The sequence below is a fragment of the Homo sapiens genome, chromosome 2 (genome assembly GCF_000001405.40).
Source record: "Homo sapiens chromosome 2, GRCh38.p14 Primary Assembly".
NCBI classification, from domain to species: domain Eukaryota; kingdom Metazoa; phylum Chordata; class Mammalia; order Primates; family Hominidae; genus Homo; species Homo sapiens.
Window position 1 is genome coordinate 78,107,654 of NC_000002.12, and position 26,308 is coordinate 78,133,961.

Consider the following 26,308-nt stretch of genomic DNA (forward strand, 5'->3'; position numbering starts at 1 on the left):
GGAGCAGGCAACAGGTTACCATTCATCCCCATACCTGGTTGGAGGAGCCATCCTTGGTGTGTATCTGAAACTAAATGTGGGTGGCAGCCAGGTGTAACAAAGCCTCCACTGGGGACGGGCCACCTTTCCGTGGCCATTCATTCAAGGTTTGGAGCACCCGGTCCAGCCTGGAACTCCAGCCCCACAAAGACAGAATGTGACATGCAAGTGTAACCCATTCTTCAAGAGCCCGTTATATCACTCAATCCTACTTGCAGCTTGCGGGTTGTATAACACATAGAATCCCCACTTTTTGTCCATGTATTATATTTATTGTTGTACCTGTTTTCCAGTGAAATGTGTTCCCCTATCATTCTCAACAGCCAGAGGGTGAATAAGTGTGGCAGGGCCTGGATGGTGTGCTGTTGGTTGGCCACCCCTGCATTTGGCAGGGGCCCAATACTTGCCACCTGGTCAAGGCCACTCACCTTATTGTTACTTGTTGTGTAACACTGGGCACCTGCCTCCATCTAGGGTATGCCTGAGCACATGCCAGGCATTTCTGACAAGCCTTCCAAATGTCTTGTGTGGGTAGGGACAGAGCCCAATGCTTATTGACCTGTTGCATCAGTTTACCCCCTTCATGTCCCAGTTTCTGCTGTAGCCACAAGGCCACATCTTGTCTAGGTACTGACTCTAACCATCAAACCTTGGCCAAGGCATCTGCCTCATCATTGCCGGGGTGGCCAAAGGCATATGGCATGACATATGATGAACAGTTGTCTCTTTCTGATGTCCAGTTTCCCAGAAGTCTTGCCACATGGCTTGGCCCTAAATTTGTTGGTGGCCGACTAGCCACTTCTGTATTTTCCAGGTAGTTAACCACAAGGCTAAGCCTCAGTAGACTGCCCAGCTATTGGTACAGATTGCCATAGGTGTCACCTCCTGGGTGATTGCCATCCACACGGCTCTAAGTTCAGCCCATTGGCTACTTTGTCCACACCTGGTTTCAAATCATATGGTGTCACTACTAGATTGGGCTGCAACAGAGATACAGGCAGCAGTAGCACCTCAGCTAGACCCATCTGTGTACCATGCCCCATCAGGAATGGGGGGATGTCCTTCCTTAAATGGTGAAGGCTCAGGGTCTAGGGGTGCCTCAGGCCCCATGACCTTATCTTGCATTAGGACTACTGGTCCTAAAATCTCTTGCAACTCTGCTACTAAGGGGCTTGTACTCAGCATGCACCACTACTTCAAGTAGGCGCCACACTTTGCCAAAGTGGATGTCTGTGCCATTCCAGTCCAGGGGGTCATTACCCATGAACTCACCCATCCTGCTATCGAATAAGTCATCCACATGATGATGGCAGCCCATCCTGTCACACTCTCACAAGCCTGAAGGGTGCCAAACAGAGCTGTTTCTCTATCAAGGAATAGTGGAGGTCAGCTCTCTTCCATAGTTTCAAAAGCCTACTGGCATTCTCAAGTGCTCTGTGAGCTGCCACAGGCCCCAACCAAAAGCATCTGTGCTCATATGCACATCCAGCTCAAACGGGCACCTCTAGTAAACTACCCATGGAGCTTGTGCCTTCTGAATAGCCTGCTTGCCTGCCAGGAAGTTGGTCTTAGCTGCATCATCCCAATCACAGGTAGCTCTCTTCTTTGCTAACATATGAAACAGTTTTATCATTTGAACCAAATAGGGCACAAATGCCTGCCAATATCCCAGGAGGCCCACAAAAGTTTGCAGCTGCTTCACTGTGGTGGACTGGGGATACGCCTGAATCTTATCGATGATAGCCTCTGGATGGCATTTGTCTTACGCAACCAGATAACTCCCAAGAATTTGGCAGATAATCCAGGCCCTTGGACCTTGGATTTGTTGATGGCCCAACAACATGCTGCCAAATGTTGCTGCAAGAGGGGCACTGCCTCTTTTAAATCTACAAGAGAAACAGAGGTTAACATAATTATCATCAATATGATGTAATAGGCAGACCACTTCTGGACATAGCCAGGTGGCTAAATCCATGACAACTAGACCATGACATTTCGTGGAGCTATGCACATAGCCCTGCAGCAACACTGTAAAAGTCCATTGTTGCCCGTCCCACGTGAAGGCGAACTGTTCTTGACTCTGGGGCGATGTCTATGGAGAAAAATGCACTGTCCAAGTCCACTGCATAGTGGTACTCTCCCAGTTCCTTTGTCAAATGGTCCATCAAATCCATGACTGACAGTACAGCTGCATGCAAAGGGGGTGTTACTTTATTCAGTTCCCAATAGTCCACCGTCATCCACCAAGTTTCACCAGGCTTTCTAACTGGCCACACTGGAGAACTGTAGGGTCTGTGGGTGCCACGCACTATTTGCACCTCCTCCAGCTTTTTAGTTGTCTCAGTTATCTCCATATGCCAACCCAGCAAATGATATTAATTGGGGTTGAGGCAAGACCTAAGGCTAATGATGCATATGCCCTCGGAGCACTGGCTTCACCACATGCACTCAGAGTCTGAATTCCCTGGCCATGGTTTGTAATGCCAGGTCACGTAAGATACCCACCCGAAGAATGTATTCCAGTATGGGAGAGACATACACAGCATATAAATGGAGAGCCAAATGGACGATGCCAAGGAGCAGAGATACAGGTTTCACTTTCACTGACTGGCCTCCACAGTCATAAACGTAAGCAAGATTGCCAGGAAACTTATCCGGGTTCCCATAAACAAGGCTGCAATCTGCACCAGCATCCACCAGTGCCAGCATCCACTGTACATTGGTGGGGGAACCACTGGATCGCTAATTCTATACGTGGCCTCCGGTCATCTGGTGTCCCCACAAGCCGGGCACCTCAGCCAGCTCCCTAATCAAACAGAAAAAGCCTTATATTTTCACCTGGCTGCAGAAAGTAGTCATTGAGCTACAGCACCTGGGTGGGACTGGATCACACAGCAATGTCCTTTTTCCCCTTAGGCATTTTCTGGGACTGCTCCTCCAGAGACAACCATCTCCTCAAAGTTAAGAGTACTTTATTAGGTTGCTTATCAATTTGCTCATAGTCAACCCTGGCCAAAATCAAATCTATCCACACATGTGAGTGTGTCACTCACTGGGGCTCCTTTTTCTTCCACTGTGGGGACCCCTGCAGGAGGGATATCCTCCCCTGATTTACAGTGTGGACCCCTCTGTTTCACTGACAGCCTTCTGCTTCCCCGAGAGCCGCCGTAGCAGTGGTCACTTTATGTATGCAGCGCCGTAGGTACAGGATGAGATGAGGACAGCAGCTAGGGAGCCAAAGGCACTTGGGGGTGCAGAATCCAACATGATATTCCTCATGTGGGAGGTGAAATGTTCATCATCTGGCCCCTGGGTATTCAGCTCAAACATAGCCTATCGCATACCCATCTCTGGGATGTTTTGTACCAAATCAGCATACAACTGCCATTTACTCACGGTTTTGGGTATTTCACTGGTGTCGTTCCACAGTCTGTATGGCTGCCCATAGTCACTCAGTCAGAGTGTGGTTACCTTGCCCTTGCACCAACCACCTGCTCATCTGCAACCACTGATGGAGGGAAGGGTGAGTCATGATAGAGGCCAGCTTTTCCATCTTAGAGGCAGAACAGGAGATACTATCTGCTCCCTCTTCCCACAAATGAAGCACTCAGGCAAGCAGAGGTTCCCCTGGATGATAACAGCAATGCTTGCCTCATTCCCCCAACTCAGTTGGGGTACAGGCAGTATATGAGGTATGTTGTCTTACCTTGGAGAGTCCCTGAGTTTGCCTTTGGGGCCCCAATGGCTGTTCATGATCTACCTTCTGATGGACCACTGGGCAAGCTCACAACGGGGGTTCTTCCTCCTTGGTATCAGACCAAGTGCGGGTGTCTGGCTGAGATGAGAGACCCAGGCCTGTATTCACAGCAGCCTCTAATTCCTTTTCCAAGCTCTGTAGCCAGGCCTGCAGGTGCCCTGCTTGCACCTGGAGGTCTCTATTCATGGCAGTTTCTATCTCTTTTTCTGAGATGTGTAGCAGGGCCTCCAGGTGCCCTGCCTATGTCTGGAGGTGTCCATTCACGGCAGCATCTATCTCTTTTTCTAAGCTGTGTAGCTAGGCCTCTAGGTGCCCTGCCTGCACCTGGAGGGCCCTGAACTGCACTGCGTCTCTGAGGGACTGGGTGTGTACTTCTTGTAGCACAGTCAAAAATGTCTATTCAACTCTTCTGGCAAAAGCTCACTCACTCTCCACGCTCTGTACTTCCAGCTGCTTCAGCGCTCTCTCCATGCTTGCAGGAAACCATCTACCACCACTCAGGTTTCCAGCGGAGCCCATCCGAGCAGCACAGCTGCCACTGGGTACCACAACCCATGTTGCAGCCACGTGGCTGGCCCAGAAGCAGCAGGGAATGAAGGCTCACTCACCTCGGGATCCTCTTCGTAATGCCAGTTGTCGGTTCTAACTGAGGTGCGAGGGGAGTTGGTGGGCAAGTGGCAGGTAATTTGGAAAACACTTGAGGAATTGTAGACAGTTTTCACATGGATTTACTCTCTCTCTGGGCATGAGTGAGCCATATGTACAGCTTTTATTATACCTTTTACAGACAATAGTGGCTCAGAGCCAATCACAAGCTCATGTGGGTGATCACCTAATGCGGCTCACATGGCGTGGTTACATAATGTACAGGGTTATGTGCCTGCACTCGAAACCCACTGAGTCATGCTTCTCTAGAAGGACGCCACAGCCTACTCCTAACTAAAGTGCAGTCATTTTCTTTATAGAAGGTGACATAAACAATACTATATTACAAATATTTAGCCTATTAGTAGATGGGCCATAATGGAGAAATATTGCTGGGCACAGTAAGCTGTTTGGTATGTTCACAATCATCCATATAAGATATGCAGTATTTCAGAGCCATCTATGGAATAGGAAGAAAATGATAAGTCCATCATATGTTAAGTTCTTTGATAAGAAATATAAGTTTGAGTTCATCTATATATACCCTAAGTAGCATAGTGATTGGGATATTTGACGTACTCTTAAAATATTAAATATTTTAAAATGTTGTATAAATGTGAGTACATATCAAATAGCTTAGATGAGTAACTTCGAGTTGGGGAGATGGAAATATTAAAGATTCCTTTTGAGAATTTGAGCTGGAGTGGAAGGACGTCATTTACCACGGAAAGGTCCTATTGCAATTTGTCAGATTTTTCTATTGGACTGATATAATTAAATATTTCCAACCCATGATCATACACATAAGTAAAGAAATTATTCTTTTTCTGTGCAGCTACAATTCTGGCTCTAAAGGAATAATAAAAATGACAAACAACTCCTTTGTGGCTGAATTAAATTGGTAAAACCATGGAGAACCATGCTCTTCCGTGGGTCTTCTGGTAGAAGCTTATGAGACCTTAGACAAGCAGCTCTGGCTGATGCTGCAGCCTGAGGAAATATCTCCCATTAAGTCCATGTGTTCATTTTACATCTGGCTTTTGAATTGTATTCTAGGTTTATGTATAATTTTCTCATGTTTGGATCCTCCTCCCCATGAGTCCTTTATAGTTGATTCCTCAATCAACTTATACTTTTGAATTACTTTAAATTTTTACCTCTGTCCAATGTCTTATTAATTCTCTGTGGATCAGTGCTCTTAATATCAGTCCTACTTATCCTGCTCCCATCTTCAGCTCCCAGGAGCCGCCTTTCTTATGTGTCTGGTACCCCTGAGTGAAATGAGTCCAGATTTTCCACCTGGAAGTGCAATGCTCCTTATTAGAACAGGTGGTTCTTATGATATCATACATCTTTACTATGCACTCTATTGATATTTAAAATTTAAGAAGTATCATCTATTTTACACACATTCTAAGATTACTACCTTTTAAAAGCAATCAATTTTTAAAAAATAATCAGGGATTAAACTGTACTAAAAAAACTTTTTGTCCTGAAATTATGCCAGAAACTCTATTATTTTAAATTGCCTATTCTAAATATATTTTAAATGTTTTATGTTATTCAAAACTCAGACTGAGAATAATTTTTTAAGTCAATTTATGGAATTAAGTAATTATCCTGACATAATTCATTGTAACATTCAGTATATTTTTCTTGCATTACCTCTTAGAGTTCTTGTAAAAGAATAATGCAATTATATTTATTCATATAGAAACTTGCAATTATACTCTATCACTAAATTACTCAACAGTTATCACTTCAATGCTTAGAACATCAAAGAAACTTTGAAATGAAGACAATACTTATGAGATCAAGTTCACAAAGTAGTTGTGACATTTATAAGAGGGATAATTAAACACACTTTATGAATTGGGGATGGGATCTAGATTGGGCCAAATTCTGCATCCTTTGCAGAGTTGAAAATTGATCATTTATGTCTAATGAGAAAATGATGAGATTCTTTCACTTAGTAGGGAGAAATCCTAAGGGAAGTTGCCGCTAGACAGAACAAATTTGTCCACCTACACTTTCCCATTGGAACAGTGGCTTCTAGCTTTCATCGCAGTAAAATATTTTTACTCGGTTTTCAATTACTGGTCAGCTTCAGTTTCTTTTTGTGACAGATTGTAAAAGGGAAGTATCTATGTTTTAAAAATTCCTTTTTTAAAGCCATGAGAGACTGAAGTATAAGAGAACATCCCCAAAATAGGAAAGAGGCATTTCTCCTGAACTCATCTATCAACAGCCTTTAGTTGTGGCATCTCCTTAGCTGCAGGGCCAAAAATGTGTAAGTGGTATGCAGCAAACATAGTAATACTCATCAAAGAAGTACCTGTACCCAGAGGAAGAGATAGTGGGGCCCACCAGCAATGGTCTTTCTGGCAGAAACAGTAGTAAAACAGAAATGGCAGTAGTTTGAAACAAAGATGGTGATACCCAGGGGTACTCATGACCCATAACAGATTAGGCAGAGGTGTGCTTTGAAAGTAGAAATGTGTGGGGCCACAATACATGGCTGTCCTCTACATCTGGTGCTGAGGAATAGAAAGGAAGGACAAGTGTCACTTGATAAGCAGGAAACAAGTTATATTTTTCAATTTATTTGACATTCTACACCTGGCAATATGTTTAATTCACATAGCAATTTCTGTATCAATAGGTGAGAGTAAACACCAGGGTGATATATTCACTTCTCTCAAAGTGACCTTGTAAGCTAAAGAAAAGAATTGGGTATTATTATATATTTCTGGAAAAAAATTGGCTCTTGATACCACCTAAATTGATTACTTTTTAGTATTTCCTCAGTAGCACTTATGTATCTAGTCAACACTATATTATTTTTACCTCTGCTAACCTGCACTTTGCAATTGGTTCCGCCAATTCACTTTATAAATATATATTAAGTTCAAGGAATGTGGCCCAGTATTGTAGTGGAGACATAAAAATGAATAAGATAGCTCTTGCTCTCAGAGAGTTTGCAGTTAGGCAAAAATGCAAAATAAAAATAAAGATCATATAGTTAGCAATATATGTAGTAGTCTCTGATATGATACAGAAGAAATTAACTTTCATAATTAGAATATTATACCCAATAAGTTCCACTAATTTATTTATTCCATAAATATTAAATAATCTACTATATATTGAATGCTAGGTACTTAGTATATGGCAGTGAAGCATACAGACAAAACCTCTTGCTGTTATGTAGCTTATAGTCTAGTGAGAAGACAAAGAAAATAAATAAATAAATGAATAAAGAAAGGAACAATTGAATGAATGAACGAATGAATGAATGAATGGCAAAGAGAAAATGTGCTATGAAGTAGACTTAAGCTATAATTATACATGTGATTTCTGGGCTTGGGGAGGTTAGTTTCAATTTCACTTCAATAACACGATTAGTTAAAGCATCTTTGAGTAACTGACTAAGAACCTGAAAGTGATGAGCCATACATGTACTTGGAGAAGACAAATAGCGATAGGATAGTGTTTAAATGAAAAATCTTGAGGCAGGAACATCCCTTTCCAATGGAAAGAATGGGATACAATCCAGTTTAGCTGAAGCAGAAAATCTAAAGGAGACTAACAAATGGATGACTCAAGAAAGGTGTCAGGAGCCTGGAACATGTAGAACTTTGTAAGCTATCGTGAAGACTTTGGTATTTTTCACTGAGAGAGATAGGAAGCCATTGGAGAGTTTGAGTAGATGAGTGACCAGATTTGACTTACAGCTTAAGAGAATTATTCTGGCTGCTGTGTCCAAAATAAACACCAGGGGAGCAAGTGCAGAAGAAAAGACACTAGGTAGGCACTTGATGCACAGTGGGATAAAGACACACACTCAGATGCTTGAAATGCTTTGCAGATATAGCTTACAGTACTAACTGATGTATTGGTTATGAGATTTGGGAAAAAGAAAGTAAATGCAGTCCCCAGGATACCTGCCTTGAGTAGAAAGAGATTGGTGTATCCACTTATACATGTGGGAAAGACTGTGGAAAGAGAAAATTTAGAGATAAAATTGGTACATTTTTCTATGTGTGAATCTTGAGATGTCAATTACATATTTGTGTGGAATTTAATACACAAACATTTACAGCTCAGTGGAGAGGTCTGTAATGAAGAGGTCAAAAGTATTAGAAACCCTAATACTGGATGATGATATAGAAAGAGAGGTATAAATAGAGAGAATAAATTAGGAAGAGAAACAGTAACAAAGAGAGAAATAAGAGAAGAAAATAAGGCATGACACCATTTGGAGACAGAGAAAGTGAGCTAAAATAGTGAAGTACACTAAATGAAGTAATCAATGAGGTAGAAAAACTAGAATTTTCTTTCTTTCTTTTTTTTTTTTTTTTTTGAGACGGAATCTCACTCTGTTGCCCAGGCTGGAGTGCAGTGGTGCTATCTCTGCTCACTGTAAGTTCCACCTCCGGGGTTCAAGCCATTCTCCTGCCTCAGTCTCCCAAGTAGCTGGGACTACAGGCACCCGCCACCACGCCCGGCTATTTTTTTTTTTTTTTTTTGTATTTTTAGTAGATACGGGGTTTCACTGCCTTAGCCAGGATGGTATCCATCTCCTGACCTCGTGATTCGCCCGCCTCGGCCTGCCAAAGTGCTGGGATTACAGGCATGAGCCACCATCCCCCGGCTTAGAATTTTCTTTTTTAAGTGAAGCCAAGTGAAGAAAGTATTTCAATGAGAAGATAGGGAAACCATAAATTCCCACTAATAAATTGAATAACTGGAAAAATCCATAGATTATGAGTGCGTAGTCATGAATTATTACATGTATTAGACAATCTATAATGTGTTGCATACAGAGTATGCAAAGTGGTAGGAATTTGTACCCTACAATATAGCTAGACGAATACCATATTTTTTATTAGTCATAAATTATCTACAATAATAATTTTATCTTTCTCCTTTAATGGAAATATAATATTTTAACATTTTACAGGTCACAATACATTCATTTAAATACATTTAAATTATAATTTTTAAATGAACAACTATAATAAATATCACAAAATGTTTTAATAAACATTCATCATCCAACTTTTTTTCTGTAGAGTTCTACTATACACAAATATAATGAGTGATGGTGAGATCTATTCCCTATGGAGAAATAGCTATGCACCAAATTTTAGTCATATTCTGTTATTGAACACTCAAATGTGTATAGGTAAATGAAGAAAATCTACATTTTCTTGGCTTTATTAAGCCATCTTTGCTGCACATATTTAACTTAAACTTGCAAGAAACAGAAATAGCATCTTTTTCTTAAGGTTATAATGATAGTCTACATCTGCTAGAAAGTACAATACAGACAAGGAATTGTCAGAAATATATTTATGCAATGACATCAATGTGAATGTAGTTATAATATTTATTGCTGCAAATAAAATACAATAAAGTATACAAAGAACACATAAATCTTAAATAATTTGGTATTTACAAGTTATTTTATAAGATTAAAAATTTGAATGGTAAAATATTTTGTAAATTAAACAAAAACCAAATAAAATGTAAAAATGTGTTTGTCCAAAGGATTATATGTATATTTCTATTAATTGTGCAAATTATCTCTATAGATTTCCTTAGAAACCTTTGAGAAAAAAAATATAACCTTACAAGTCATAGAACATACTATGATAAACTCACAAGATGATGTATTAAACGGTACTCAAATAATCCTAAGAAGTAAAATTGGTTATATTTCTTAAGTTTCTGAAATTATTCCTGAGAGATTTTATAAATAAAAATGTAAAAATCCGTCATCATGAAAAAACTCCAGTGGCATAAATAACATTTCATGATTAAATTAAATAAATTGAAAAAGGATGTAGAAAATTTTTTTCATCATGATGTTGCTGTTTGGTGGATAAAATTTTTTATTGTAATTCATAAGTAAAACAATCTTAGGAAATAGATATATTTCCTGTCTCATCCAGAAACACATGCTTTTCATATTCACATTTCAAACTAACCAAAGAGTGTATTTTACAAAGGTTCATAAAGAGAGCTAGCAGGAAAATCGACTTGTCCTTAGTCATACCAACTGTTGCCAATCTTAAGTAACTCTAGGAGAAGTTTCATCTCACACAGGCAACAGCTGCAGGACTCTGATGAGCCTCCAGAGTGGCCTTGTGTGCCCAACATTTTTGTTTTCTACTTAAAAATCAACTGACCAGGATGTGCCTGAGTACACGCAGTTCTAACCAAATGCCTAATGCTATTTTATGATGCCTTGAATTTTATTACCGAGCATCCTTTGAAATACGACGCATGCCATTTTTCTTTAATATCTAATTCTAAAAGCAAAGGAAGATAGCTTAATTTCCTTGTATGTTTCATCAGTAAGGCAAAGAATCATGTTGGAAGCATAAAGCAATGCACTCCTAGGTAACAAAGTACCACTTAGCAAATTATCATGAAAAGAAATGCCAAATTGGCGTAAGGTAAAACAAAACCAGCAAGAGAAAGTTAAATTAAAAAATCATGGTCAATTCATTTTTTATTAGAAAAGACACAATGTCATTATACAATTCTATTTTCATACTAAATCTTTGTGGAAAACATAATTAGAATAAACAATGATGAGAGAGAACAGATTCATAATCTTAACATCTATGGTTAGCATCTTGATCACAATCTTTTCTGATACACTCACAAATTAGGATTTGCGAGTCAATCCTCACAAATCAAACATGGTGCTTATAAATTCACTTTTTCACATTAGCGTTCTATCCTCACCTAAATTTTTCTTCTCTTTTTTTTTTTTTAACTTTTACTTTAGATGTAGAGGTACATGTACAGGATAGTTACATAGGTAAACTGTGTGTCATGGGGGTTTGTGGTACAGGTTAGTCGCTCACGTAATCAGCATAGTACCTAATAGGTATTTTTTAAAAATTCTATCCCTCCTGCCACCCTTCACTCTCAAGTAGACCATGGTGCTATTGTTCCCTTCTTTGTGTCAAGAGATCGAGACCATCCTGGCTAACACAGTGAAATAAAAAATGAACAGGGCGTAGTGGCGGGCGCCTGTAGTCCCAGCTACTCGGGAGGCTGAAGCAGGAGAATGGCGTGAACCCAGGAGGCGGAGCTTGCAGTGAGCCGAGATCGCGCCACTGCACTCCAGCCTGGGTGACAGAGCGAGACTCCGTCTCAAAACAAAAACAAAAACAAAAACAAAAAACAAAAGTAAAACACTGTTTGATATAGACAGTGATTCATCATGTGATCCACAGAGAAGCCCTGTGAGGGATTCCATGTGCAACTGAATCAAGGCCAGGCCAGGGAGGTGGACACAGAAACCTAAGATCATTTTAGTATCATTCTAACAATGTTCCTTTTCAGATCCAGGAAGCTTTTTATTTTACCATGGGCTTACAAATAATTGTAGCAAATAAGCATGACCATGATTCTGTTGTTTAAAAAATCAGAGCTGTTTATGTAGCTGATTTTTTTTTTTAATGGGACACAGTGTTATAAAATTTCAGTAATTTTATCAGCAACTCCTCAGCCATTGAGTATTTCTTAATGAACTAACCATTAGGAATACAAAAATGTTTTCTTCTTACTTTAAGGGTTGCATTCTTCAACTAGGCAGGCATAATCATGTTTGGGCACATTGATTATGCTTTTGTGTAGTGAAGCTTGAGTCAATTAAAGACCTGAATTTTATAGCAAGCAATGATAATCTCTCTTTTAAAGCATGTTTTCTGAAAATCTGAAGGAAGAGGAGGGAGAGAATAAGGAGGAAGGAGAGGGAGAGAAAGAGAGAGGGTAAATTAAAATAAAACAAGTTATGTTAGCAATATTAGCCACTATGCGATAACCTTTAGGTCTTGCTTTCTCTAAACCAAACAATTAAAACAATTAAAACCATCATACATATTTCTCTCTAAATATATGCTATATTTAGAGAGAAATATAAATACTATATTTAGAGAGAAATATAAATACTATATTTAGAGAGAAATATATATATACTATATTTAGAGAGAAATATATATATACTATATTTAGAGAGAAATATAAATATAGTATAGAACATAACATTTAAATTCTGGCTAAAACATAATTTACTTCTGGAAAGTCTACAGCAGCCTATTACAATGGAGAGTGAAGTTGTATGGGTACCCACTCCTTTGCTAATCCTTTATTTCACCATACATTGATTATGAGGGTCAAAATAGTGAGTTATTTCTTCAGGTTGCATGTGGCTTTTCTGGATCTTTTTGTTTCACATTACGCTTCCTCTACTTTATTTATTTTCCACTCTTGGCATTAGGCATTCCCTAGATACTCATTATGCCACTAAGAAAAATGAATATAATTGAGAAATCAAGTTAGAATCTGCAGCTGCTTCCTTCCCATCTATCAACTCTACCCTCTACTTCTGTACATGGCCAAAGAGCTTAATTTGTCATGATTCTCAAGTTCTCCAGCAACTCAATGAACCTTACATAATATACTAATCTAACTAAATATATTTGACATCTTTGTCTTTTTAGTAACACGTCTGATTATAAAGTTACATAGTAACATAAACTCATGATAACAGGAGAAATAGAACTCATTTCTGCTCTCAATATATTTTTAAAAAATTACTCAAATGCCAAGCTTCTGAGTGACAATTCATAGTGTAAATGAGTAGTTACATGATTTTTTTGTGTGAAATTAATCACATTTTTCCTAAATAGTGTTGACAGATAAAATGCAGAGTGCCTAGGTAAATTTGAACTTCAGATAAAACAGTGAAGAATTGTTTTCATATAAGAATATCCCAATTATTGTATGGAACATAAGTATCAAACATATTTCTTATCTATCTGATATTCAAATTTTACTGGGTGTCCAATGTATGTTTATGTTCTGGAATCCTTTAATAGGGGTTAGCTAAAATCAGTGTGTTTTCTCTACTTTGGAGAGATGAAATTAGTTCTCTCTCTCCTCCCAGGTGTTGTTTCTGGACCATTTTCCTCATCTCCAAAATCAAATAAATAAGAGAGAGAGAAAAAAAAATCACTTTAAATATGTTCCCTTTAGGCACACCTATTTTCTTCCCTCCTAAAAAAATATAATCTTCTGACCTCTAACAATCATTTTAGATTCAAAACCTTATATTCTTACCACATTTCATTCTTCAATTTGGTCGCTTGCCTTACAATCTCAGTTTTCTGATTAGTTCAAGGAAATTTATTATTTGCAGAGTGGTTTAGAGTGATGCCTTTCAAAACGAGGGTTTTGAAACTGGGGTTGTATTATTTTTAGTTTACAATAGCCATGTTTCAAGCAACTATATTCTTGTAGGATTTTCAAGAGAGTATGTCATCAAACTTTTGGATATTGCCCATCTGATAGGTGAAAATACCTCATAGTATTTTTGTTAGCATTACATTAAATTTATAAATAAACAAACACACACATTTTCTTTATCTATCTTTCCTTTGATGGACCCTTAGGTTGACTGGACAAGAGTGGACATCCTTGTCTTGTTTCTGATCTTGGAGAAAAAGCTTTCAACTTTTCATCATTGTGTGTAATGTTATCTATGGATTTGTCATATATGGCCTTTACCGGGTTGAGGTATATTCCTTTTATTCCTAATTTGTTGAGTTTTATAATAAAAAGATATGAAGTTTTTAAAATGCTTTGTCTGCATCCACTGAGATAATCCTATTATTTTTCCCTTCATTCTCTAAATGTGATATATCACATTAATTTATTGGCATATGTCAAATCTTCCTTGCAACAAGGGGATAAATCCTAGTTGATCATGGTGTTTGATTTTTCTAATGTGCTATTGAATTCAGATTTATAAAAATTTGTTGAGAATGTGTGCATCAATGTTAACAGAGATGTTGGCCTGTAGTTTTCTTTTCTTGTAGTGTTCTTGTTTGGCTTTTGTGAGAGAGTAATGGCGATCTTCTAAAATAAATTTAGTAGTTTTTCCTCCTCTTCAGGTTTTTCAAGTGTTTGAGAATAGGTATTAGTTGTTACTTAAATGTTTAGTAGAATTCAGCATTGAAGCCATCAGGTTCTGAGGGTTTTTTTGGTTGTTGTTGTGAGGTTTCTGATTACTGATTTAATATTCTCACTTGTTATTGAACTGTTTAGATTTTCTATTTCTTCATTGTTCAGTCTTGGCAGGGTGCATATTTCTTGAAATTTATTCATTGCTTCTGGGTTATCCTATTTGCCCACATATAATTCTCATCAGTAGTCTCTTAAATTATTTGCATTTCTTTTACATGAGTTGGAATGTCTCTTCTTTGATTAATAATTTTATTTATTCAAGCCCTCCCTCTTTTTGTCTTGGCGGGTCAAGCTAAAATTTGTCAATTTTATTTATCTTTTCAGAAAACCAACTGAGTTTTGTTGATTATTTATATTTTTTCTACTTCCAATTTTATTTGTATTTTCCCTGATATTTGTTACGTCTTTTATTCTGCTAACTTTTGACTTAATTTTTTAAGTTGCTTCTTGGAGGTTTAAAGTTAGATTGTTTATTTGAGATCTTTCATTTTTCTTAGTGTAAGAATTTATCATTCTAAAGTTCCTTCTTAGAATTTCTTTTGCTGCATTTGGTATCTTGTGCTTCCATTTTCATTTCTATCAATAATTTTTAAAATTTTGCTTTGATTTCCTCTATAACCCACTGGTTGTCCAATAATATGTTGTTTATTTTTCACATATTTATACATTTTTAAATTTTTCACCTGTTACTGATTCTAGTTTCATTGCACTGTGGTTGACTGAGATATTTGATATGATTTTGATATTCTTAACTTTATTGGGACTTGTTCTGTTGCCTAACATATGATGTATCATGGAGGTTGTTACATATGTGCTTAAGAAGAACGTGTCTTCTGCTGCTGTTGTCCCCAGGTTTTCTGTGGTAGGCCTGAAGCTGGGTTTATGATGAAATCAGATACTCAATTCACTCTCCTTTATTTACGCAAAGGATATCTCTCTCCATACTGTGCTTTCCAGGCTTGTGAGAGGAATGATGCAGATAATCTGAAACTGTCCTTTCTAACATTTTTAATACATTAATTTTAATTTCCATGTTAATCTTTGGTACTGTAACATCTTATCTGCATCCTTTAGTTCTGTGAAAGTATTTTTGTGGATGGATAATTGTTCAAACTGACGTTTCTGTGAGGAGATAATTGCTGAAAAGTCTTAATCCATCATTTTGCTGCGGTCACTCTCCTGCCAATTTTGTTTTAGATATTGTCTATTAGTATCAGTTTTTTATTCTATTTACTCAATTCTCTTTAGATACAATTTAAAAATCCAATACAATTATTTACATTTTCCCACAGTTATAACATTTTTGTGTTCTTCATTTACTTTCATAAATTTTGTTTTTTATAAGGTATCATAATTTTATGCCTAATGAAGTGCCTTTAACAATACTTATAGTCTATGTCTTCTGTCGGTAAATACCCACTTCGTGTTTATCTGAAAATGAATTATTTGCCTTTATGTTTAAAAGTTATTTCACTGGGAACATAATTCTAGGTTAACACTTCTTTTTTTTCCCCCTGTGCTTTAGAGATTATCTCATGATTCATTTCTCCGACTTGCATAGTTTCTGAAGAAAAGTCTGCTCTCATTTTAATCCTATTTAGATAATATGTGATATTTCTTTTTTCTCTAGCTGCCTTCAAGGTTTTCTTTTTATCTTCAGTCTTCAGAAATTAGACTATAATACACTAGGTTATTATTATCATTTTATCCTACTTGTGTTTCTCTGAGCTTCAGGTACACCTAGGTTTTTTACTTTTGTGAAACCTGGAAAATTCTAATTCTTTCAAATTGATTATGTATCTCTCTCTCTCTCTCTCACTCTCTTTGCACTGCTTTCAGTGTTTCAATTATATGTATGTATCATACAGACCATTTATGTTATTAAATATTGTACAGAGCATTTATATTCTTACACAGGTGCTGGATGCTTTGTTCTTTTTTCACTTATGTTTCAATTTGGAGAATTTATATTTGTTTATCTTCACGTCAACTGATATACTAGTCTTCTTCGTCAGTTCTGGTAATAATCCCATCAAAGGAATTCACCTTTGATAACTGTGTTTTTCATTTCTGCCATTTCAGTTTTACCCTGTTTTATAGTTCTGAAATTCCTAGTCTCTTCCAAATATGTTGTCTTATTTTTCAAGATTATTTAACACATTTTTCATAGCTATTTTTGTTTTCATTCTGATAGAACATGTGGTCCATCTCCATGTCTCTTTTTGTTCTATTATATCTGTTAATAATAGGTTGTAGTTCTTTTGCATTTTTGTGAATAGCCTTATTTCCATTTTAATTCTAAACACTGTGTGCAAAAGAACAGATACTGGAAATAATATTTCTGTTTGACATGTGTTTTCTTCTGTCTGAATATCAGTGTCGGGAGTGGAATCTTGTAAATCTGTAGCTGATCTGGAATTGGTTTATATTGTATAGTCAGTAATCATTACCTGTAGTAGTTATGTTCTAAAATGTTTCCAGACACCGAACCATTGCTTCTAGGAAAAATATAGATCTAGGTTCCTGAGAGCTTCTGGTTACATTTTTATTAACCAATCAATATATGACTTTGTTTCATTTGTTTTCCTGTGTAAAGACAACTTATTTAATATAACAAAGAGAATCTAACGTAGGCATTTTCTCTGTAAGGCACATCCTAGCCTTCTGCTTCCAAACACTAAACACACTTTAGCACAATACTTAGGGGCCAAAATAAAAATAAGAATAAAAAAACTGTATTATTAAGTAATCCTTGGAAAGGATGCATTTACAATATAAGGTCTGAAACAAGAAAGTAGAATATTTCCCTGTTTGACCTCATCTGGGAATGCGTGCATCAAGAAACTCAAAATTTTCACTCCTCTGTGCAGTCCCAAATAACTATAAAAGTGCTACAAGCATGCACTTTGAAATGACAAATAATTTTTAGCAGGCAGGTGAATTTGCAAATAATCCACAAATAGCGAGGTTTGACTATGTTTGTGTGGTGACTTTCAATGTACCATATGCTTCAAGGTCATGAATTTGCAAATAAAGAAGCCACAGATAGTGAGGACTGACTATGTTAGTGTGATGGCTTTCAATGTACCATATGCTTCAAGGTCATTGTGTTCAGAGCAGTAACTTCAAAAAAAAATGGGGTTAAGTTGCTTGCTTGTGCTTGATATGAGGCCTAGAGGGCTTGAAGAGTTTTTCTCAGTATTCCACTTCATCCCCCAGATGCAGCGGACTATGCACACCTACATCACAAAAGAAATCTCTCTTCCCCATTGGTGCGTGCTACTTAATTCAATGTTCATAGTGAGTTCATAGGAGTTCCTCAGTTCTCTTTTCTTTAGACTCAGTCTTAGGTAGGCACTGTGTAACCATGACTTGGAAACAACACTTATATAACACTCCTGCCTATTTCCCAGGGGCAAACAAAAAATGCTTACTATTCATTATAGGCTGTAAATCAAGGCTATAAAACATTTTCCATAAATAATCAGATAGAAAGTAGTTTAAGCTTTTAGTCACATACACTAATTAAAAAATACTTTATAAAATGTAAAAACGCATTCTCAGCTCACGGACCTGCCAAAAATGGACTGAGGCATGGAATGAGCTCCAGACTCTAGCCAGCCCACGGGCACTTAGCGCAGGTTGTTAGTACTTAGCACAGGTTCTTTTCCTGTGCTTCCCACCTGTGGCAGGTTAACTCTGCCTTGAATCAGCAGGGATTTTGGGACATGAGCAAGCATGTTTCTGCTACACAAGCAGTAGGGTCTTGTAATCTAGTGTCAATAAAAAGTTCTGAGGGAGTGAGTACATTTTCTACCCTTCCTTAAAAGCAGCACACAATTAATTGGTATCATGTAGAGGACAAGGGCACAGGCAGGTTTTATGCCTGTAAATCAGTGGTTGTCAATCTTCACCTTACATACAAGCAGATTATGGATGTATGTTTTCAAAGTATATTGCCTCTACCCTCACACATTGGAAAGTCCTGAATATCTGTACCATGAAGGGAGCCTTAGATCTCTTTCCTTGTACCCGTGTTTTCCAGAAGGATGCTACAAAAGCGTATGGAAATTCCTGGCAGGTAGATGCATGCTGTCCTGTGTCTGGGACACATATAAATTCTAAATTGCAATGTTAGACTTTGCCCAGCTTTTGAAAAGTTTTTTTTAACAGTTCTGTTCTTTTTTCTTACCCACTTTTAAGGCTTCCATTTGTTTTCTCCCATGCTTTACCCAAGCTAAAAATAAATAATATGACTTGTCTCTCCTTAGAGTAACTTGTTACTCATTGGAATTCAGTTTGTAAGATTGCCTTGGGATCACAGCTTTCTGGTGGACTGAAATTGTTATGTACATTCTTTTTCATCTTTCACATTTTTTCTTACTGTTAGAATAGCCTTCCCTTGTGGCCTTCTCTATTCAGAGTGGAAGCAGATCTTTCAAAGATATTTAATTAATATTTTTATATGTATTTTGATTTACATATTTTATATGTATTTTGATTTACTTTGTTGATCCCATATTTTGCTTTATCTATTTTACTTTGAGAATGAACTAAATTGCACGGAACCTCATTTGAGTACCCTTAATAATAAGACCAAGAACATCACCTTCTCAGTCAAGGAACTTCCACTGTTGTATATCCACACAGACGTTATTGGCTTTTTTTCTATAAACATATTGAACATTATGAAGGTATGAAGGTATGAAGGAATGCTAACTGTGTTGGATTCAGCAACATTCTCTCCAGAATAAGCACACTTCTTTTGTCACACCAAGAATTAAAGAGGTTGTGGACACTATTCTACTTCTGTGCCCGTAAGAATAACAATCAAACCTATTTTATATCTTTACTATATTTTACAAGAGGGATGTATCCATGAACTCTCACCATGATTGTCTTTAAACCAGGGACTTACGACTTTATTCATCATCCAAATATCCCTTTTTGTTCCATTTATTCTGTTTTTCTTCTTTCTTTTAAAAATTCATTTATGTAAATCTATTTTTCACGTTTTATTTTTTATTATATTTATGTTTTATTTTATTTAAAATTCATTTTTCACTTCTTATTTTTCTTTCTGTACCAATTTTCTGTAATCTGTCTTCTTGGCCCACCCCAGGATTAAAAGTAGTTAATCTAATAGAGTTATGTGAACACATTTGGCATGTGCAACCCAGCATTAGAGTGTCGGAAGTTTATCAGAATTCACAATGAGTTGAGTCTTCAGTTTTTTAGGGATACCAGAAACATATGAGTTAAGCTAGCCTAATAAAGGGGTGAAACATAATCGAACTAAGTTAGCCCATAACTAAAGCTTGCATTTCAGTGACTGTTTCTTCTCTTTCTTTCAGTTGGCTTAGAATTACAATCAGGAGAAAGGAATGTTCTTTTGCTAATGAAAGAGGAGAAATTGGCAATGTTCCAGTCCCAAGTCTAGGCCTCGGGAGGCTTGCATTTTGCCAAATTATGATCCCCTTCTCAGCTGCTGCTCTTTCAGCATGGACGCTATCACAAACACATGGAAAATGGCCTTCCCTAGTTAATCCCAGCCAAACCAAACCCAGGTGCAAACTAGAGCCACACAGCCAAACCCACCCTACACCAACCATTCCCAGCTGAACTGTATCCATGAGAATAAATTATTGTGGTTTTTCAGGCACGTGGTGGCATGTAGCATTTTTGTAGTAATAACTAGCTGATACAAGGGATGTTATTTAATTGCCCTTTTAAATCCAATATATGAAGCATAGGCGAGAAATCATGAAATATAGATAAAGGCTGTTATAAGGCATCAAATGCTGAAATCAGGTCATAGAGCATCAGCTTTAGCATAGAAAGATAGAAAGAATGTATTGAGATTTTTTTCTTTTTAATATTAGAATTAATGCAAAATAATGCACAAAATATAAGTATATAACTCAAAGAATTAGCATCATCTAAAGAAATTACTAGTGTCCACAAACCCATTCTCTCCCAGAACTTCATGAAGGGGAGGAACTGGGAGTTGTGATATTTTAGTAATTAAAATGTCTTCAGGTTCAGATTTGAACACCTGCAGATTTAAATAGAAAGGTAATAGTAAGCTAAGAAATGAAGTACTATCTTTGTAAGTAACATTCCTTAAATGACATTCATCTTAATGTTTTTAATTCCCTGTCATAAAATAGAAAAGAGAGTGCCAATTAAGGGCTATTTGCTAGGTTCACTATCCTGTGCCCTGTATGGTGACAGACTGTCTTTCTATATTTAAAAAACTAAGCAAACTGTTATAAGAACCCACAGATTTTAATAGTATTGGTACAGATCAAGTGAATAATATATTTAGATTAATAAACATAACACACAATGGAGAAGAACACAACCTGAAATTTTGTTTCAAAGAGTCAAGCTGCAAATGTTGATAAAATAAATTAAATTTCAACTTATGTGACATTTTTCAAAATCAAGCAACAATAAAGCATTTAAATGTCAGCACAATTTTTGTACTCAGTTAAATCTTTTTCAAACTAAATCATATTTCTTTACTTCCATTTTAAATATCAGTTAATTAATATGTTCTTAGTGGAATTCAGAGTAAAATAAATTTGGGAACTCACACAATGAATGTGTAGATAAGTAACTTGGAAAAAAAAATCAATAAAATTCTTTGTTACAATGTTACCACATTAAATTTATAGCAGCTGGTTAAACAATACACACCCTCCTCCATACTTCTAAATTTTGCTCCAGGATCTTTTTTATAGACTGTATTATTTCATGGTAGAATTGTAAAGAGTCAGTTAAAATAATTTTTCTGAACATTCAGTGCACCTTCAAGAAAAGTTCTATTTTGAAGAGTTCTCCAAATAATAGCTTACTTAAATATCTCAGAAATAGTTTTTCTTTAGGGCACATGTAGGTTTTCACCATGGGTAATTCTAAAATAGAATGTTTTTACCCAGAAAGGGAGCTTCCCACAGGGAATGTTAACCTTTTAAAGATATAATCAAGATCTAACTTTATATAGGAGAATCACAAGCTTTGACATCTATTTTAAATTATTTCCTTTTCCATCTATCCTACTTCCTCAAAAATTATTTTTGTTTTAGTGCTAGTTTATCTTATTGGTCATAGGTTTTTTATGTTTTCAAATATTAAAATACATACTATTATTTTATGGCCGTGGAGTGTATTAGCAGACCACATAATAAAACCTGCCACTGTTCATAAGAAGCAATTCTGAAAAGATGTCACTTGCTACACCTTACAGGGTCCTCTCTAAATAGACAAAAAGAGAAAAAGATACTAAACTTTCACCTCCTGCAAAACTTGTGTTTTTTCTGACCTGCCAGTTTAGTAATTCTATTATTAACTGTGTGTTCTGATGTGTAAAGAAGAATCAAATCATGGTTCATCTCTAGCAGTTGTACAACCGTATATATATCATTTCTGTTTTCTAAAATCACAATTGATTATTATTATTATTTACTTGTATTAATATTCTAATTTTATATTTAGTCTCACTCAAATTGTTATAAATATTTTGTTCATATATATTAAAATCACATATAACTATTTTCTCATGTGAAACTTGCATGATCAATAGAGGGTAAAGAACAAAAACAGTAGAAAAATGAATAATCCCATTACCTAAAGCAAGAATATACCAAGTACTGTAGCTAAATTATATGTGTTTCTAAATCTAGTTCTAGTCCCCTGGATGGGCCTATAAATGCATACATAATTATATACATTGTATATGTTGCTTGCAAATTCTATGTTCTATGAATTGGCTGTAGATACATATATAATTATATATAGCATATATATTCAAAAATATATGGAAAAAATTGCTTTTGCAAATGATATAATACTGTATTTAAAATATCTTTTATTTTATTTTTAAAAAATGAGCATTTGAAATAAATGCTTTATGGCAAGACTATAAATCACTTAATTTACTATAGAAGTAAATTAATTTACATAAACATTTCTCAATTGCTCGATAGAACTTATACAACAAGTTTTTCTGTACATAGATAATTGAACACATGTTTTATAACTTTCTAGATGTAGAATTTCTGAGTCAAAATATGTACAAAATTCTAAAGCATGTGATGTGCCCTGGGAATAAAGAAAAGTGAGCATGTAGCAAAGATTCTTAGTTTGAAGATGGATAAATCAAAGATGATGCTGAGATTTCTGGCTTATGCAATTTAATTATCAATATGATTGTCATTGATTAAATAATATATAATACTCTAATCTCTTTATCATTGAACAACTTATACCATAATTTAGTTTGAATATGTGTTCCCTCCAAATCTCATGTTGAATTGTAATCTCCAATGCTGGAGATGGCGCGTGGTGCGAGGTGTTTGGATCATGGGGGCCGATCCTTCGTGACTCAGTGCCGGCTTCATGACAGTGAGTTCTCATGAGAGCTGGTTGTTTAAAAGTGTGTGCACCTCCTCACCCATTCTCTCTCTCCTCTGCCTCTGCCACTTGATGTGCCTGCTCCAACTTCACCTTCCACCATGAGTAAATGCTCCCTGAGACTTACCCCAAAGCTGAGCAGATGCTGGTGCCATTCTCGCATAATCTACAGAACTGTGAGCCAATGCAATCACTTTTCTTTACCCAGTCTCAGGTATTTCTTTATAGCAAATGCAAGAAAAGCCCAATACACCCCCTTATTATTCAATCTGACACAAATACAGAGAAATTTAATTATACTTAAAATATTATTAAATTATCTGTAAAATGACCTGTAAATAGATGAAGCAGTACATATTTTTCTATACAAACTCAGAGTAGATCTATAAAAAGACATATTAACAAATGAAAATATGTGCAACCTCATTAATTTTTAAAAGAATTAATAAAAAATTACTATAGTGTTTTCATGTATCCAAAGGACAAATGTAGCATTCTTCATAAATGGAGTAAAACAAGGATCTGGGTCAAGTCATTTCAAACTCTTTGTTGTCATGGAAATGAATGAGGGCTCTTTGGGGAGTATTAAGACAATAACTTTAACAGTGCACATTTTCTTTGACAAAACAATAATACGTCTAGTGATACGTCCGAAACACAGATTACATGTAACTATAAAGTTATGAACCGATAAGATACATGCGTGTTCGTTTTTTGTATTTTCCTATTTTCTGTACCAATTTGTCATTATCCTCATGCCCTAAATCCAGCTACTTCACACTAACCAAGAAAAGTTGTATGATTTTATTGAGTAATTCATGGAGCCACTAATGAGGATAACTTGAGAAAGAGTTTAAGAATATTTCAATACACTGCTTTATTCCACATTTTCCCCATGTGAGAGAGAAAGGAATTGCCACTTTTCTCAAGCCAAGTGATGGGCCTTCAATAAACTTCCGAGATTGCTTGATGTGCTTAACCTGCGGTTTAAAAAATATTCAGCATTCAGTGTCTCACTCTCATCTGAAAAGAAAGATGCTGGCATTGCAGCTGCCCCTGCCTATGGGATGGCACAAGCACAGAGGTATACTGAGGCTGTAGTTGCAGAAGTATGCAAGTTTCCCATGGAAAAGATATTGACTCCATAATAACTACTTCTGGAATTCTGAGATGCCATTTACAAAGGGCTGTGCTGCTGGAACTCAAACGGGAAGGAAGATTTTTCAGTTGCCATTTGAAGATTGCATTGCCCATGGCAAATATACTGTAGATGAAAGATCCTCAGCAACTTGAGGTGAAGGACTAGTTAAGGAACTCAAACATGCTAATAGGAGGGAAAGAATAAATAATGGATTCTGTCACATCCAGAAGCCAACAGCATTAGATTAAAATCTTACCAGCCGAAATTCTTGCAAGTTATTTCTACCTGTCAAATGAGATATTTCTGACGCTTTCTCTTTCCTCCATTACTTGATACTCCAGACCTACAAGGGCCCCAAACCGCAGTTACGGAATGGAAAAATAAGAACAAGAAAGACAGACAAGCTTATCTTATTATCTACTTCACTGCAGATTTCACAGTCGGGGCAGGCCCAAATTGGAGAGGATAAACAAATGAAAACTCATTACTTTGATATGACATTTATTATTATTCAATCTTACCATAAATGATTGAAAAACATTTTATTAATTGAGCCTGACTGAGAAACTGAAGGACTTGCACAAGCGTTTACATAGTATGGAGAAGATATGAGCTCACAGAGCACACTTAAAGGCACAGTCCTGAAAACAGACGAAAATAAGTTTACCTAGTAAACTGTATTAAAATTTTACAAAGATTTTCATTGCAGCCTTGTTAATATTAATAAAACTTAGATTAAAACCTTGTTTCAACTAGAAAACTGGTTAAAGAAAGTATAAACAGCTTTAAAATGCAATACTGTAAATCTTTCAAAAAAAGATGGTAGGTTTCACTTGTAATAATAGGTATGACTCAAAGGACAGTGTTAAATGCAGGAAGCTACAGACATAACTTAAGAGCACAGTAGACCCTTAAACAATGTGGAGGTTAGAGGTGCTAACACCCCTCACAGTTGAAAATCCACATATATCTTTTAACTCCACAAAAATAAACTATGAATAGCCTACTCTTGAACCTTACCAATAACACAAACAGTTGATTAGCACATACTTTGTATATGTATTATATACTGTATTGTTACTATAAAGTAAGAGACAAGGTTATTAAGAAAATTATAAGGAAGTGAAAATATACTTACAGTACTGAACTGTATGTATCGATACTGTAAGTATATGTCATCTGTTTACAAAATAAACCTCTTCCTGAAAAGGCAGGCAACTGCAGCTGCAGACCTCAGTCCTCTGTACGTATCAAGCAATTCAGTTTTCTCCTGTAATATCATGGTTTTTCTCTGCTTCCTGGGAGCACTTCCAGCATCACTAGTGGCACTTCGTATGGGATCCATGATGCTATTCAAAGTTTACAAGAGTTTGCAACATTGAACTAAACACAAGGAAAGATACTCAAGAACTGCAAGATCATTTACTGCAATATGCAATTTACTGAAGACACCACTGGTCACACAATGCTTAGCATAGCATGGCATTGTAAATAGATTCTCACATTTGAAATCCCCACAATAGCAACAGGAAGTGGCTGTAAAATTATTACAGCAGTGCAGTTTGTACTAGAGTTAATTTATGCAGTTAGAATTTAATATTGCTTATTTACATTTATTTCTCTACTGCAGTTACTTCGTTACTGCAAATGGCACCAACAAACACTGCAAGTGTTTGTGTCCATGTTTTGATACATTTTAACTTCTTATAAATTTGTGTATCTTATGGTAATAAATGATAAAATAGACTAATATCTACAAATATTTTTTGATTTATGGTATACCTCTTTTTTTAATATTCTAGGCTACATGATTTGCAAGTTTTTTGAAACTGTAACAAATTTCTGATAAATTTTCCAGTATATTTATTGAAAAAAACATCTGCAAATAAGTGGATATAGGCAGTTCAAATCCTTGTTGTTTGTGAGTCAACTGTATAGTTAATTACATGTTCTTCATTCCATAATTTTTTTTTTAAACTAGGTGTTTTTGAAACTCCATATACAAACTAATTTCCTCGGATGTTAGCTTATTTTCTTCTTCATCAGGTGAATTTATTTAATGTTGCATTAATAAAAGACTCCTACAACTTAGTTGCTTTTAACAACAGTGTTTTATTTTTTTGTTCCTCTTACATATCCTTATGGGTCACCTTAAGTTCTTCTCTTCATTCAGTGATCAAGGTTGAAGAAGCAAATCTACCCTGGGGAAAGATAGCCCCATGACGAGTAACAGCCATGGTGAAAAAGAGATAACAAGA

General features: G+C 36.3%; 2 long non-coding RNA genes across 2 annotated transcripts in view; one reads left to right on the forward strand and one right to left on the reverse strand.

Annotated features, from left to right (window-relative positions):
* Positions 1-20,153, forward strand: part of LOC101927948 (uncharacterized) — a 39,077-nt gene extending 18,924 nt beyond the window's left edge. The window contains exons 5-6 of the long non-coding RNA NR_110287.1: positions 4,247-4,477; positions 19,846-20,153. This is a non-coding gene — a long non-coding RNA (uncharacterized LOC101927948). The remainder of the gene's footprint in view (positions 1-4,246; positions 4,478-19,845) is intronic.
* The window catches only part of LOC101927967 (uncharacterized), a 547,036-nt gene that overhangs the window by 363,958 nt on the left and 156,770 nt on the right, over positions 1-26,308 (reverse strand). The window lies entirely within an intron of this gene.